The sequence below is a fragment of the Homo sapiens genome, chromosome 4 (assembly GCF_000001405.40).
Source record: "Homo sapiens chromosome 4, GRCh38.p14 Primary Assembly".
NCBI classification, from domain to species: Eukaryota; Metazoa; Chordata; class Mammalia; order Primates; family Hominidae; genus Homo; species Homo sapiens.
The window spans coordinates 146395129-146412416 of NC_000004.12; the positions used below are offsets into that span (position 1 = coordinate 146395129).

Sequence of the window (17288 nt, forward strand, 5' to 3'; positions counted from 1 at the left end):
GAGGTGGAGGCTGGAGGACTGCCTGAGAACAGGAGTTTGAGACCAGCCTCAGCAATATAGCAAGACCCCCAACTCTACAAAAAAAGAAAAAAAAAATTTAACTTAGCCAGGCAATGTGGCTAACATAGTGCCAGAACATAGTCCCAGCTGTTCAAAAAGCTGAGGCAGGAGGATTGCTTTGGGCCCAGAAGTTCGAGGCTGCAGTGTGCCGTGATCATGCCACTGCACTACATTCTAGGTAACAGAGCAAAACACTGTCTCAAAAGAAACAAACAAATAAAACCCCCACACAGTTGCTACTATCTTGTATTTCATAGATTTATGTGTACATGGCTTCCTTTTTAAAGCAGAAGTTCATTCAGGCAGATTTTACATCTGAATATTTTTTGTAACCATTCCTTCCCCAGCACTTTTCATATTGGTGCACCTAATAGATAGAACAATTTACTGCACAAATAAATGACATGGCTGCTTGTGAGTGAACTGGAGTCAGGTGCTGACACATATATTTGCTCCCAACATACACTAACATCGGACATGCTTTTTAGTATTAATATGTAATAACGTCAATGAAAACCAAAACGAGTATATATATATATATTACACAATTACACAGCATGAATGTCTTGCTAGAGGAGTGTTACTACTTTGTTTGTTCAATATTTCAATATATTTTCTATCCCCCAAGTCACCTCTGTACATAGTACTTGTATTCAACCATACATGTCATTTGTTTTTCTTTGTTCAGTTTGAACTCTATAGAACTTAGCATACATGAAAATCAATGAGATGTCCTCATAAAAGTAAGCCAAGTTAGCCTTTGAATTTGAGACACTGATCATTCTTCTTTCTTTAAATGTATGTATCATGGATTGCTCTCATTATACGACAATCTACGAGGTTTTTCTCCCACATCCTTCCAATATTAATTATTTCTTCTCTCTGGCTCAGACATATTATATAAAAGGTTGCTTAATCATGTCTATCTGAAGAGGATTGATAAGGTAACTAGATTCTGGTATCATTTGACATTTTGTTCCCTAACTGAATCACCCTGCTTGGTTCAAGTCTTTGACTACAAAATGGGACCATTATGTTAACTTTTAAATAAAGGAATAACTAATTAAACCAAAGTAATTCAAAGGGCTTGCAACATGGAAAGAAACACAGATACTCATAGAAAAGTCTATTTTAGTGGAAAGAGAATATCTAAATAAAAATTTTCCTTCAAGTGATGGATATTTTACCAAAAGCTTTAAATCAAATAAATTATTTTTTACATTATGGTATGAAAGTCAAAAGCTCATGAAAGTAGAAAAGGTTGATAGTTTTAGATTACATTACCCTAAATAAAGAAGGAATTGTTGCTGACATCACCTTAAATATACTGCATATTGACATGTTTTTGAAGGAATTACAGTTGTGTGGAACAAGTCAAAATCAAATTTAGTTCAATCAGTTGCAGCACATTTTTTAAAAATAAAAACATATTAGGATACAAATACATGAAAAGGCCTTACCAACCTTACTCTTTATGTACCAAATTTTTAAATCCATGCTTATTTGCAAGCAAAAAAATATGTACTTTGGTAAAATTGTGGGATTATATATATTCAGAAAAAGAGTAATTGCACATACACACAAATTCCGGACCACTACTTCCTTTAAAATCACTGAAAAAAAAAAGCATTGAGGGACCAGCCCCTTTAGAAATTCAGTACAATATGTTTAAACCCATACAAAGAAAAGTCACCAAGATTTAAACACAAATAACAAAAGGAAAAGGAGAAAAAGAAAGAAGAGAATTAAGTCAAACACTCTGTTAACTGAATTCAGACTTTCGGCTTTTACAGGCCATTAATCTAATATATGCCAAATTAGATTTTCAAATTCCATAACATTTGATTTCTTTTCTAAAACCAGTTTACCCTCAATCCCAGAAGTTTTTCTTTCAAAGATAAACTACAATTCTAAGTGGAATTTCTATTCAACTAGGAATTCTGTTGTTTTTTTAAAGTATTTATGAATCATATTTATGATATTTACGATTTTACTCTCCCCAAACATTACTTTTGACTTTAATAAAGTTAAGACCGATGTAAGAACTAAAAGATGGTTTACTGTGTATTAAATAACGCTCATTTTAAAGCAGGGCCACTTGCACACTATATGTCAACTAAAATAATGTCAGAAAAGTTTTCAGACATCTGGGTATTTCTTCCAACTTAACAACTCAAACAACACCAAAATTATCCAGGAATTTCAGGATAAAATAGTTCTGCTTTAGAAACACATCCCCAATAATGTATATAATTGATCACTGGTAACCTTTCTCATTTGTGCTGTGGAGACAAAATCCTTGAGCTTGAAGAAACCATAACTATGTTCTGGTCTGCACGAGGGATAGTTTGCATAGGATTTTTAGCAGTTGGGGAGCTTGAAGCTTTCCTTCATATCCTGTTTAATGGGACTTCTAATTAATGTCACTCGTGAACTTTAAATTGCAGAGTGAGATCATCCACACACAATTCCTTCATTATGGCTAGTCCACTCACACTGAAGCAGTGTTGAAACATTAAGTCTGCAAGTTGTTCAAGAGCCAATAAATAAAGAACTGCAACAGGATGCCCAAGTAGTCCTTGTACAGTCAGTAAATTTAACGTGGCTTCAAAACAGGAGAGCAGAGGAAACACCTTTAGGAATTCTCTGGGGTATGATTTAACAATACAAAACAAGAGTGGAAACTAAAGCTGAAAGAAAAACTGGATAAAGCAATAACAAACGAAGTTGTTCATTTTGGGCAGAGACTCTGAGGACCAGAAGTTTAAGACATGAAGTTGTAAAGCAAAGTTCGCTCTTCAGGCAGCCCAGGTATATATAATGTCACAAGTGTCCAAAGATTTATTGACGTAGCATTGGAATTTTCTGCAACATCATGTAATCAGAACACAATAACTCTTAGGAGCGTCTTGACATTTCTGAAAATATGTGGATATGCATGTGAATGACTGTATGAATAGGGAAAAATATTCTGTTGTGTACTAAAAAATAGATAAATCTTTTTACATGAGTCAGTATCCTACAATTTGACATTTATTTTGGCAATAAAGTATCAATTAGGATATAAGGAAGAGCCATGTAAAAAAGTTAATAATTACATACACTCGTATATACACACATTTATACATACACAGAAAATGAATGTGTGGCATCCATTATAGCTTAAATATTTAGTTAACTTTCTGGTTAAAGATATAGTTAGAGAAGTAGTATCAAAAAGATTCTTCATCACAAAAGAAGTCAGAGAAGAAAAATTAAGATCAAGAAAAGCAGAAACACCAAAGGAGAATCTATATTCCATCAACTTCTTACCAAACCGTGGAATATTTGTTATAAGAAAAGTAGACAAGCCTAGGACCAGTGATCAGGAAGTCCTCTAATTTGACATAATAAGAAACAGATTTATGGACCACAGCATGCTGGAATTACTATTCTTCAGAAAAGAATCTGTGGGTGATGTCAAAAGACAAGAATAAAATGTGGCTTTGTAAAGGCTTTGAGAGGCAGAAACAAACAACAAGTACATCCTGAAAAAGGAGAAAAGAATGGAGAGAAAAAATAGCCAAAGTGGGAAAAGAGAAACTCTGCATGTGACTAGGTATCACAGACCAGTGACTGGTAAGACTCCCAAAGTCCCAGGGTTTTTGCTCTAGCTGAATCCTAGAAAAATGGTTCATTTATTCTACAGATATTTAGCACATACTAGGTGCCAGGCACTGTGTAAGCAGCAGGAGAACGGGAGTGAAAAAGGCAGACAAGGACCCGACTCTCTAGTGGAGATTGACAGGCAATGGGGAAATTAACAAGATTAACTTTTAATAGTGGTAACCTAGCTGATAAGAGAATAAACAGGGTAATGTGATAGAAAGCACTAGGGCGGTATTCAGGGAAGGCCACTGTAGAGCTGTCATTTGAGCTGACACTGGAGTGACAAGAGGAGCAAATCTAGTGAAGATCGGAGGAAAGAGTGTTCTAGACACAGGGGGTGGCTAGTTCAAAGGTTCTGAGGAGAAAACAGGCTTGAAATGCTTGAGGGGAGAAAGTCTTTGCTGCTGTGGTGAGCTGACTGTGGAGGGTGTAGCATAAGGTGGAGCCACAGAGGAAGGGCGAGCTAGATAACAGGGCTTACTGGTTGGGATAAGGAGTGTAGATTTTAACCTAAGGGCAATAGGAAGTTAAGAAAGGTTTTTAACACCAAGAAAGAGTTGGGAGAGAGTATGGGAATACAATGTAAACGTTTATATTATTTAAAGATTACTACAGCCAATGTGTGGAGTCAAAATTTCAGGGGGATTAGAGTAGAAGGAGGTGGACCAATTAGGGAATAATTACAGCACAACAGGCATAATTACAGCACAAGAGGCAAAATGAGTTAATGGCATCTTGAATTTGAATAGTCATAGTGAAGATGAAGAGAAGTTGATAAACTCAAGATACAGTTTGAAAATAGATCCGATAGCATTTTCTGATAAATCAGATACGGGGAGGGGAAGACAATGGAAAGAGAGAAATCAAGGAACATTTTTAAGACCACGTAACGGGGAGAGGCATTCACTGAATTAAGAAATATAGAGAAAGAAGCAGTTTAAGGATGGTGAGATCAAGACTTCTACTTTGCGCACAGTAAGCTTGAAATACTTTTTAGATATCTAGGATGGAACATAACGTAGGCATTTTGATGTATGAGTCCAGCATTTAAGAAAAAAATCAGTGTTGAAGATATCAATTGGCACAGAACAAGCATTTTGATGTTACATCAAACCACAGGGTTGGATGATTGGATAAATTTTCCTGGGAAGATACTGTAGACAGAGTAAAGGCCAGGACCCACAGCCAGGCCTGAGACCCTCTAACATTTAGAGGTTACAGAACCTATGTAGGGAATTGAGAAGGGGAGCAGTCAGTGAAGTAGACAAAAACCCCAGGAGAAAGAGGTATCATGGAAATGAAAAGAGAAACATGTTACAAGCAGCAAGTGATCAATATTGTCTACTACTGCCAAGTGTTTTTGTAAGATGAGGACAGAAAAATCACCACTGGATTTGGAAGATGGAGGTCACTGGTGACCTTGACAAGGGTAGAGCCTAAAGGCTGAGTAGAATGCTAGGGAGGCTTAATTAAATTGGGTATGGGGTGGGATTGGCACTGTTAAAAGTAGAAATTGGAACACTTGTTTCAAATTTTGCTTGAAAGAAGAGCATAAAATAGGGCAGTGGCTAAAGGGGTACTCGGGCGGTGTTATAAGAGCACGATCCAGTAGAGGTTCACAGTCATCCTATTCTGGTTTCTAGGCTTTAGTACAAATACCTAGGATGAAAAGCAGGATCTCGAATTACTTACTGAGTGACTTATCGAAACGTTTTCTGAACATCTACTAGATGTGAGGCACTGTGGTAGTAATTAGAATAGAACTAAGGATATGGGCTCTGAATTTCAGCACTTGAGCTCTTGCTAGGGAGCAGAACCTTCATCTGAGACTTGTGGAATTTTTCCACAAGTTTTTTTGGTTCCAAGGAACCAAAAAAGTAGGCTAAGCTCCAGGTCCTTCTGAACATACTCACCATTTGATGACAGACGTGAATGAATAGTGTGTCGATAAGGGTTTCTACCTTCCCTACAGATACATTGTTTACTTAAAGAACAAATTTTCTGGTCTTGCAGACATGAAAAGAAGAATACAAAATAAACAGAAGTGAGTCTGCATGCACTAAAAATTGCATAAAATGTATGTTGACATTTAGGGAATGAATATCTACTTACATATAAAAGTGTAAAGAAAATTAGCAACAAGAAAAATACTCCCAAAGTAACAAAGTAAAAAATGAAGATATCAATGAAAGAAAAGAAACTGCAAACACTGGATGACCCCAAGATTCAGAACAGCTAAAATTTGCTAGCTGAGTAAGGAATCAGAGAGGAGCATCAGCTGAAGTCATTCAGCAATGATCAATCAGTATTTTTCTGAGAGATCATAAGCTACTCTGACGGCAGGCGATAAAATCTTCTGGTTGGAAAGACCTTCTCTATTCTAATCTCCTGATTTACACTGGCTGCTGATCCCTTAGTAACCCTTAGTGCTTCACAATCCTCCTATACCCACTGTCCTCCCCAAATTATGGTTACTATCTGACTTGGTTCATCTTCTGGATGATGATGGATGACTTAATTACAGAAATGAAGGCAAAAATGAAATACAAAAGGAGAGGCCAGATATGAACAAAGGGGCAAACACACAGCCCTCTTACTATGGTTCCTTATTACTAAGCTTTGTATTTCCCAATGCCCAGGAGACCTGCATAACCACACTGGTGAGAGACGGAATAAAGAAAGAACAAAATGAGGGAAAGCAACACTTATTGCATGCCTCTTACACGCCAGTAACTCTGCCTAGGTTTTTCATGTTTTTTTTCAGGTTGGTTGCTGAACAATCCTGAGTTGCCTGTGGATGAGGAAACAGTGAACAAAAAGAGATAAGAGTCTTGCCCAAATTCACAGAGCAGCACAGACTGTGTGATTCGAAATACCACTATCTTCCCATTATAAAACACTGTGGATTCCATATGCTTGAAATATATTAAATCGAGAAGAAATAACATGGAAAATAGTAAGTCAAATAATATAGAAGTGTAACTTGTACTTTGGGGTGCTTTGAATCAGTATTTTTTGTTCAGTTTTCATAGGTCATCTAAGCTAATAATTAGATCAAAATAAACTTTATATTTTTAAAACCCAGATTAAAGATGATAATTAGGTATTAAATCTGTTTCAAATGGAATAAAAATTTACATCTATACCACCACTACAAAAAATGTACACATATAGACACTCAATTATTATCTTCATACCTAATTGAGAGTGAGTTGCAGACATGATACCCCATTGGTGGAGAATAGCATCTAGAAACCAAGATCCAGCATGCTAGGTACACTTATTGCTACTGGAGTGAAACTGATTTTAGGCTCTTTCAGTGGACACTGGTAGGAAAGATACATATGTGTATACACACATACCAATATCTGTTATATCTATTTTATATCTATCTATCTACATGTATTTTTAAAACATCAGGCAATACTGATACCTCTAATTTCAGTCAGCACCACAGGATGTATGCTAGTCTTCTCCCTTTCCATATTCATAACTCCCTTCTTCAACAGAGAGAAGTCAGGCTCCCATTACCCTTATTTCCTCATACCTCCTGCATGTAACCAATCTACTGGCCCTATCAGCCCCAACTGCCTCCTTACTCTTACCCACCTCCTGAGACTTCATCCCAGTCACCTCTTCAGCCCTGACCGCCTCCTGGGCCCAACACACCCGCTTGGTCCTAACTGCTTCCTCAGCCCTGACCCCACAGGCCACTCCAACCCTGGCTGCCTCAAGGGGAGGGAAGGAAACCAAAAACATGTTTTAAAAAACAGAAGAGGAAAGGGGAAAAAAGGGGGCAGGGGGACAGGAATAAGTAGCAGAAGAGCTCACCCTCATTCTTGAATGATGGTCTACTTGGGAATAATATAGGCTAGCAATTGTTTTCTAACTCCATTTCGCCTTGAAGACATTCCATTTTGGGGGGCCTCTATTACTGCTTTAGAGAAGCCAGCTGTCACACTAATTGTTGTTTATGCTGTTGTTGTTTTTTAGAAAGTTGTCTTTTCTCTCTGTTTCACCTGAAGATTTTCTCTTTGAACAGTGTATGTAGTGGTTAAGAGCACAGCTTCAAGAGCCAGATTGTCTGAATTCAAATCCCAGCTTGACCACAGACTAGCAGTGTAGTCTTGCAAAAATTTTCTAACTTTTCTGTGCCTTTTCTCTTCAGGAAAATGAGAATAATAATGAGTTAATGTCTATAAATATATGAGTTGGTATATATAAAGTGCTTAGAAGAGTACCTGCCACAAAGAATCCACTATCTGTTTGTTATTACTGCTAGTAGTAGTTATTGTAGTAGTCTTTGTTATATTGAAGTTTTACTATGATATATACAGGTGCAGATTTAGTTAAACTTACCCTGCTTGGGACCTGCAAAATTCATGTTGTAGTAATTCTGAAAACGTCTCAGCCATTTTCTTTCTGGAACTCTTGTCTGGAACTAGTTTTAACATTAATTTCTGGACTTGAGTTTCTAATCTGATGAAAACAGTATAAATCCATACTCCATAACCACCTATAGCACAGTCATGGAGTTTCCATTTTTCCCCCAGGAAACTTATTTTCTCCCACTGAAAGTCCCAGACTAAGAAGACACTTTGCTTATCTTGGCCAATGATTAGAGTTTTTCTAGTAGTGCTTTCCGTGAGAGGACACCTTTCAGGTTCCCAGGTTTATTGAGTGGTCTCAGTTCCAGCTAACTACCCAAGGCTACATTTCATATACCTGCATGTATACTTCACACCTAACTATGACAGCCTATCACATGCTTATATGTGCAATTTGGGCGCTTGATAATTGTCTTTTTGACATAAATTCCTAAAAATGGAACTGATCCAAAAAGAGCAAGCTGAACAGCAAAGCAGTTATCATTGTGAAATCTGGAGTTATTAAGACGTTAAGTTTAAATCTTGACTTTGCCACTTAATAGCTGTTATTATAGCTATTAAGGGGGAAGAAAATCCAAACTCTTTGAGTCCTAGTTTTCACAATTCTAATATAGGAGTAAGAATAGCTATTGTGAGGAAAGAATACAGTACATGCAAAGTGTGCAGCAGAGTACCAAGTCCATGATGGCTTTGATAGATGTTACTATTATTGCTATTGTTATTCTAAATGTTTTCAATTTTTATCCATATTGCTAAATTACCAAATAGAAAGACTATCCCTATTCACACACCTACCAACAGTGTGCTTTTGTTTTTGTTTTTGTTTTAAGACATGATCTTGCTATGTCTCCCAGGCTAGAGTGCAGTGGCATGCCTCCACCACCCGGGCTCAAGTGATCCTCCCACCTCAGCCTCCTGACTAACTGGGGTGACGAGAGCACCACTATACCTGGCTAATTTTGTTTTTAATTTTTTTGTAAAGACGGGGTCTCCCTGGGTTTCCTAGGCTGGTCTCAAACTCCTGGACTCCAGCAATCCAATTGCCTCGGCCGCCCAAAGTGCTGAGATTACAGGCCTGAGCCACCATGCTTGACCAACAGTATGAATCTGTATGTCTTTCCATTCTTGCCAACAACAGGTCTTGTGACTCTTGTTGAACTTTGCTAATTTTATAGATGGAAAATATTTTTATTTGCACTGATATGATTACTGGTACAGTTGTACATCTTTTCATAGGTTTGCTGCTCATTTATGTGTGTGTGTGTGTGTGTGTGTGTGTGTGTGTGTGTGTGACTGGTTTAAGATCTTTGTTCATTTTTCTATGGGTATATATGTTTCTATTTGATCTGTAAAAGTTGTTTATATATTAAAGATAAAAACATCCTCACCTATATATTGCTTCTTTTTAAAAAAATTCTTTACTTTTGGTAGAGACAGGCCCTGCTATGTTACTCAGGCTGGTCTTGAACTCCTGGCCTCAAGCAATCCTCCTGCCTTGGCCTCCCAAAGTGCTGGGGTTACAGGTGTGAGCCACCGCACCTGGCTTATGTGTTGCGTCTTTGTTACGTGAACTTTGGATATAAAAGCACTTCCCTGATATTTCACTGTAAAAATAAACTAAAGATGAAGTCTTTACTGATATACATTGCAGTGGTTTTTGTTATTGACAGTTTTGTTTGTACATTTCATGTGAAAAGAGCATAGGAATTATCTTTCTAGGTCAGGTCCCATCTCGCCTAACCAGTGCAAAATTCTGTTACTAACGAGTGACCTGGAGAACATGATAAAAAACAAGAAATCATGTTTATCAGAATAATACTTAAAATCAATTAGGATCTGCTCAGTTTACAGGAAGATTTACTATAGTTTAGTCTTTCACTGGTTATGAAATAAATTCACCCAAAGCCTTTTAAAATCAGTTTTTTGCCTCTGTTTAGTGGCTTTACTTATATTTTAAGAAAGTTTCCAGAATGCCCCTTCAACTTTCTATTTTCCAGATCTACCATCTTGGTCCATATTCATCTTATCCATACCATTCATGATTTGATAGATTTTTACTTTCTAGGCCAAAGAGTCCTAATCTTTCACTTTGTCCTTATATGTCAATTCCTCCTCACTCCCTCCTACTTCTCTGATCATTTTATAATAAATTGGCACCACAATAATGAAATTTACTGAGAAAACCAGATTTTGAGATGCTGCCATAACTAATGAAGTCAGAGAAATGATGAAAAGGGCTTTAATGAGGTTTGAAATACAGTTAGAATATTACAGATAGAAAATCAATTTGGAAAATGCTGTCAGCTTCATCCATGAAGAAAAAATTATTTAAACACACACATCTAAAGGACAGGAGTAACTATGAAGGCAATGAAGAACTGAGAATTGTTTTATAATTGAGAAAAACTCATTCTTTTTTATCTATCTATCTGCCTGTCTACCATATATAAAATTTTGTTATGATTAAAAGTCTAACTGGGTAGATGTACAAATACCTTGGATATTCAAATTCTGGAAGGCCTAGCAAATAATTAAGCATTTAATTATTTTAACTAACTCTTAATGCTATATAATCTTGGAGGCAGAAGGAAGAGTTTTTTTTTTTTGGCTCCCTTGCAATACCACTTACAAGATGATGCCTAATTTTGCTCATCCCATAGAATGTATTTTATATTCTTCAAGAGAAAAACTGAATTTGTGGATCCAAGACTAGCAGGTATTTTGGAGAAAAAAGGATATCTTTTCCATAAAGCCATTTTTGACAAGTACTGTAAAGCATTTGCATAGCAAAGAGAGATTACTGTTTAAATAGATTATATCAGATCATAGAACAATTGGGAGCTGTACTTCTCTTAAAGTAACTTATAAGATCTGGAAAACTACTTCCAGTCTGGGTTAGTTAAGCATTCAGTAGATTCTCAGTTCTTAATCATTGAAAATTAAATAAAAGCTACAGCCTTTCTTTCTAAAACAAAACAAACAAAATTAAAAAACCAAGAAAATCCATATACAATTATAGAATTTTATAGAATTTTCAATGTAAGTTTCTATAAATTATTGGGATCTCAGGTCCCTAGGCTAAGGAACTCTTGGCTCTAGAGCAATTTTGGTTATATTTCTGTGTTTTTTAAAATTTTGCTTTTAAGCCTATCGCTGAATACCTAATATATAAACCAATCTCCTGCTTTAGCTTAGGCACTCCATCTATTTATTTTGGACCATATTAGACTGACAGTTCCATGTCCTCATCTATAAGCTCTTCATTGGTACTTTGCATGGGAAAGCCTTGCCATGTCCTGAAAGCTGATCTCCACACTCTGCTATGAACAACTCAAATGGAGCGTGCTGTTTAATTATATTGGAGACCTAAGGATTTGCCAGAACATTCTTGCCAATTTGACATATAAGAAGCCAACCACCAGCCATCTGCTCAATGCCTAGTTCCTAGGATCCTTCCTTAAGAGTTTATTGTGCGTGGCCAGGCGCAGTGGCTCACTTCTGTGATCCCAGCACTTTAGGAGGCAGAGGCGGGAGGATCACCTAAGGTCAGGAGTTTGAGACCGGGCTGGCCAACATGGTGAAACCCCATCTCTACTAAAAATACAAAAATTAGCTGGGCGTGGTGGTGGGTGCCTGTAATCCCAGCTACTTGGGAGGCTGAGGCAGGAGAATCACTTGAATCAGGGAGGTGGAGGTTGCAGTGAGCTGAGATCACACCACTGCACTCCAGCCTGGGCAACAGAGTGAGACTACATCTGAAAAAACAAAACAAACAACAACAACAACAAAAAAGTGTTTACTGTGTGATTCTGGTCTCTCATATATAAACCTGACTTATTTTAGTGATGGGATCTTTCCTACCCCTCACTTTATCTTTTCAGAGTCCCAGGATATCTCATTGTACATAGAAGTCAAGCTATGGCAAGTGAGGCTGAAAGTATACCTGAGAAAAGTCAACTTTCCAACTCTAATCCTCTTTCACAATATTTAAGCAGTTTTATTGAGGTATAATTGATATACAAATAACTGCATATATTTAATGTGTACAATTTTATGAGTTTGAACATTGAAAACACCCATGATACCATCACCACAATCAAGTTAACGGACACATGCAATATTTCTCAGTGTTTCCTTGTATCCCATTGTTGCTCTTTGTAATAAGAACATGTAACATGAGATCTACGCTCTTTACAAATTCTGAAGTACACAATACTGTATTATCAAGCATAGGCATTATGTTGTACAAAAGATTTCTAGAACTTTAGCAGATAATTAAAACTTTATATACACTGAACAACCATTTCCCCCACATTCCAGAAGTTTCATTATTAAAGGGGGAAAAGGTGACTTCTGAGAGTAACAAATACGTATTTATTCAAATCCAGATACAGCATATTCTAAAATTGAAGATAATCTTTAAACAAACAGCTACTGTGCCAGACTATTAACTGCCTACTTTATAGCCATTCCCACCCTCTTATATGTTAACAGAACCCTGTTTTCTTTGGGACAACAATATGCCCAATCTAGGATATGACTCACTGTTAGTCTAGTTAGTCTAAACCAGTCACATTTCCAAGTAATATGTGCCTCAAATACATGACAGATAGCCGAGATATTGATTCCCCTTAACTCTCAGGGCAGAAGGACTGGGCCTAGATTAGCAGAAGCATTCTGTTCACCCTCAGGATGTACAACAAATGTTATCATTTCCTACACGTGCCATAAAGGGAAAAACGTCAGTCAGGAAGCACGTTTCTAAGCCAAATTCTGTTCCCTTGGATAGATACTCAATTTCTCTCCTCTCCTTACAGCTAGCAGTAATCCAGTTCTGGCCAATGCAACATTAGGGAAAGTCAGCTGAGAGCCTCCTGGAAATGCTTGTTCTAACATATAAAAGGACAGAAATAACAGGATAGCATATCAGCGGTGCCTTTTCCCTTTCTTCCTACCTCGAACAAAAATACAATGCCTAAAACCTCAACAGCCATCTCACTACCATGAAGTAACAAAGCATGAGGATAAAAGACCAACAGCTAGCCAGGCACGGTGGCTCACAGCTATGATCTTAGCATTTTGGGAGGATGAGGCAGGCAGATTGCCTGAGCTCAGGAGTTTGAGACCACCCTGGGGGCAACATGGTGAAACTCTGTCTCTACTAAAATACAAAAAATTAGCTGGGCGTGGTGGTGCACACCTATAGTCCCGGCTACTTGGGAGGGTGAGACACAAGAACTGCTTGAACCCTGGAGTGACAGAGCAAGACTGTGTCTCAAAAAACAAAACAAAACAAAACAAAACAAAAAAAATACCAACAGCTAAGAATAATGGAGCAGAGAGATGGAAAGAGCTTGAGACTTTATATTGTTGAACATCAGACTCAAGGCCAACAACTGACTACTTCGAAAATGGGAAGTAGACAATTGTTGATCTTGGGCCTGATGTTCAACAATATAAAGTTGACTGGTGGACACTAATGGAGGGAATATTTTAAGTCAATTTTTTTTCTCTGAAGCATCCTTTAATTCTCAGCTTTGTAGGAATATCAACCCTCTTGTTCTCAGATTATCTAATGCTTTATTATCTATTAATATCTATACCACTTTAAGCCTTAGTGGGGTGACATCAGCTTTAATGTTAATCATTTCTATTGCATTCTTCATGGCTCAGAATTTCAGCCTCCTAGAAATTTCAACATATTATGGCAGTACTGGTTGTTAATCCAGCAGCTAAGTGGAAATTCCAAGAGGCATAGTAAATTCACACATTCAAGGGTTATAGTTATTAAAAAACAAAAACTCTGAACCGAAAATGGGGGAACAAATATATTTCAGATATTCTGAAAGGTAATTTAACTTTGTTTGCAATATATAGGAAACATAGAAGGAGAAATTTTTTAATGGGTATGTATAGGCAAAGGCTTGGGAATACTTAGGTACTCTCAAGCTATCTATAAACATAGAAGTCAAAAACATCAACCAGTGTTTCTCAGTAAATAAAAAGCACACTCCAAAAAAAATGCAACTTTGGAAATCTCTTCTAAAAAGTAAGTGCAATAACACTTTTGCTTCCAAATAGAAAAAAAATGCTATTGAATATGGCACATCAAAAAAAAAAAAAGCCACACTGTCAAACTCAAAAAAGTACATATTGTATGATTCAATGTATAGGGTGTTCTGGAAAAGGCAAAACTAAAGGGATAAAAAAACAGATCAGTGGTTGCCAAGGGCTGGGAGGGAGGGGGATAGAGGCATTGCCTACAAAAGGGCACAGGGAAACTTTGGGGGTGATGGAATGTTCTACATCTTGATTATAGTGGTCATTATATATTAAACAATTATCAAAACTTACAGAACTGTATACTAAAAAAGGATGAATTTTACTCTATGTAAATTATACCTTAATTTTAAAATCGGGGAATAGCACATCTGTGAACTGATAAGAACCAAGAGTTATTTTATGCTGGGTTAAGCCATGCTGTGGTAACTAATCAAGAACGTGAGAAATAGAGCCGTTGTCCTATATATTACATAAATTTTTAAGCTATAAATGTATATGGTAGAATTAATGCTGTGTTGGATAGTTATGTGTTTACTTTTAATGGGATCAATTTCATAACTGAGTTAGCAAATTATTTGGCTTAATTTACTAGTAAGTGATCACAAAAAGTGATATCCTTTGCTGTGGAAATAAGCAATTAATCTTAACATTTCATAGCATAATTGTACCTTCCAATGGGAAGGAGACACACATGATATATTCAATAATGATAAATTGCAGATGTTAATAGTTTACTTAGTTTTTAAGGACATTTAATAATCACAAAGTATCTCTCACACATTATATCATCTGATTCTCACAGTAATCCAACAAGGTTAGAAAGGTAAGGTAGTATTATTTTTCTCCACTATATAGATGAGAACATAGAGGCCTAATAAGTTAGATGATTTGTCTACAGTTCTAACATTAGTATTAATAGTCAGGAAATAAACTAAGATATTCTGATCCCAAATCTAATAATTTCCTCCCTATATCAGTCTGCCAATTAAAGACAATATATCTCAAAACTCTTCCCCAAATCTCAAACTACAAAGCCAACTAAAACTGACAAAAAGTCTATATCAACACTCAAATGCAGCTCTACAGCTTTTAAAATGGTCCTATTAAATTAAAATGAGAATATAGCACAGGCAGGATTTTAGGCAAGGAAAGCTACTGCTCTAATAAAAAGGAAAGTAGACACACATAGACTTCCTACAATGAGCCAGGCCGACTGTTTTAAATTTAATATCACAAAGATCCCTAAGAATAGGTATTATTATTATCCTCATTTTACATTTAGAGAAATTTGGATCAAGGCTAATAAGTTGTCCAAAGTTACCTAGTTTATCAAGGATGGATAAACTAGCATTCATCCAAGCATGGATTACAATCCAAGCCTGTTGGATTCTGAAGCCCTTTGTCCTAAGAGCCAAAAGAAAAATATTTTAAACCTACACACTTGTACATTGAGTCAAAATTTCAGTAGTTCCATAACCTTGAATCTTAATGAAGATTGTTTTAAAAGATCTTTTAAGGCATATCTTGTTCATAGTTTCTTCACCTTTATTTATGTATTTATTTTGAGACAGAGTCTTGCTCTGTCACCCAGGCTGGAGTGCAATGGCATGATCTCGGCTCACTGCAACCTCCGCCTCTCCAGTTCAAGCAATTCTCCTGCCTCAACCTCCCGAGTAATTGGAATTACATGAGCCACCACGCCTGGCTAATTTTTGTACTGTTTTTTTTAGTAAAGATGGGGTTTCACCATTTTGGCCAGGCTGGTTTCGAACTCCTGACTCAGATGATTCACCTGCTCTGGACTCCCAAAGTACTGGGATTACAGGTGTAAGCCACCTTGCCCGGCCTTCTTCACCTTTAAAATGAGGATTGCTTCTGTTTTCCTTTTAAATATGTGTCAAACTTCCTTAAGTGTCTTGAAGTCATCTGAGTTTCCCAAAAGCAGGTATTTTTATACTCATGTCAACCTCTACAGACCACCGTGGTGCCCTATAGCAAAGTCAGCCAGACTATGAGATGGAAAAACAAAATGAGCCAAATAAGACAAGAAATAATTCCAGGAATTGTGACATTTCCCTTAAAATAAGACTCTGCTTTAAAATTCCATATTAAATATTTTTAAATATCTGTTTTGTCTTTAAATAAAATACTCAGGACTTTTGAATTATAAGACAGAAGGAATGGCTTATTTTTTAAACTCTTCTAACCCATACAATTAATACTAATGTTTGAAGGAGGTGTATGCTAATTAATACTAATGTTTACAATTAGTATTAATGTAGTATTAGTGTTACTAATGTATACAATTAATACTAATGTTTGAAGGAGAGTAATGTACATATAGGCACTTGAAAAATAATTCATGGTGAGGGTGATAGCAATGATGATTAAATAGCTACTTTCACATTCGTCTTTAGTGTTTTCATTATATTAAAAGTGAAGAAGAAAAATAATTTTTAGTTTCTCTTGTTTTATACTGTCACTGAAGCCTATAGGTGATCTGTTTCTTGGTGTACTTTTTAAAATATAGAGATGTAAGTCATGCATTTGCTGGAATAAAACTTACATAATGAAGCTCGTTTTGCTTGTCAAGTGCAGATGAAAGGAAGAAGGGAAATAACAGTTTAAATGTAAAAGGCACCTTTTCCCTAACTCCTCAACTATTTCACACAATAAAATGAATAATTTAACTACCTGAAACTTCATATGTGCAGAACACTGCATGCAGACCAGTGGCATTTTCACTTCGAATTTGTATAGTCTTTAGTCAATACACTTCATCTGCATTTCTAACACCTGCTTCAGTCAGCTGTGAAGTACGCTGTTATCTCTACAGTTGTCTTTTATCTTCACTCTGTCCATCTAGCCAAAAAAAAATTACGTGATAGAATATAATTGCTTGGCCTAAAAGATATGGGGAGTAATTCACATGACTTTCTCAAAGGTATTTTCCTTTATCTTATCAATAGATAATTTTAAAACAAGTTACTAATTAATGTTGTCATTCTTTATAGCATACACCTCCCTCAAACATTAGTATTGATTGTATATAGCAGAAATAACAACATCTACTTGCTCTGCAATGAGTGCCTCTTTTGGGTGCAAAGAAAGAAAGCCATTAACTGTAAT

At 36.5% G+C, this 17288-nt stretch overlaps 1 protein-coding gene and 1 non-coding gene across 13 annotated transcripts in view, besides 1 other annotated feature; one reads left to right on the forward strand and one right to left on the reverse strand.

Annotated features, from left to right (window-relative positions):
* SLC10A7 (solute carrier family 10 member 7) overlaps positions 1–17288 on the reverse strand; it is a 267960-nt gene that overhangs the window by 141148 nt on the left and 109524 nt on the right. The window contains exon 6 of one of the 12 annotated variants that reach the window (XM_017008690.3): positions 12070–17021. The exons of the other annotated variants lie outside the window; for them this stretch is intronic. Within the exon in view, the coding sequence (XP_016864179.1) occupies positions 16965–17021 (57 nt within the window). The 3' untranslated portion in view covers positions 12070–16964. Of the gene's footprint in view, positions 1–12069; positions 17022–17288 lie in introns of those variants that run through there. 12 annotated transcript variants of the gene reach the window in all.
* Positions 3769–4302: an enhancer, noted in NCBI's record as "NANOG hESC enhancer chr4:147320049-147320582 (GRCh37/hg19 assembly coordinates)". NCBI's record gives its function as "activates a minimal SCP1, AML or CMV promoter by ChIP-STARR-seq in naive H9 embryonic stem cells {active_cell/tissue: H9 hESC(naive)}" and the evidence as "EXISTENCE:reporter gene assay evidence [ECO:0000049][PMID:30033119]".
* On the forward strand, positions 13455–13560 carry MIR7849 (microRNA 7849). Its single transcript, NR_107003.1, has one exon. It is a non-coding gene; the product is annotated as a microRNA 7849 (primary transcript).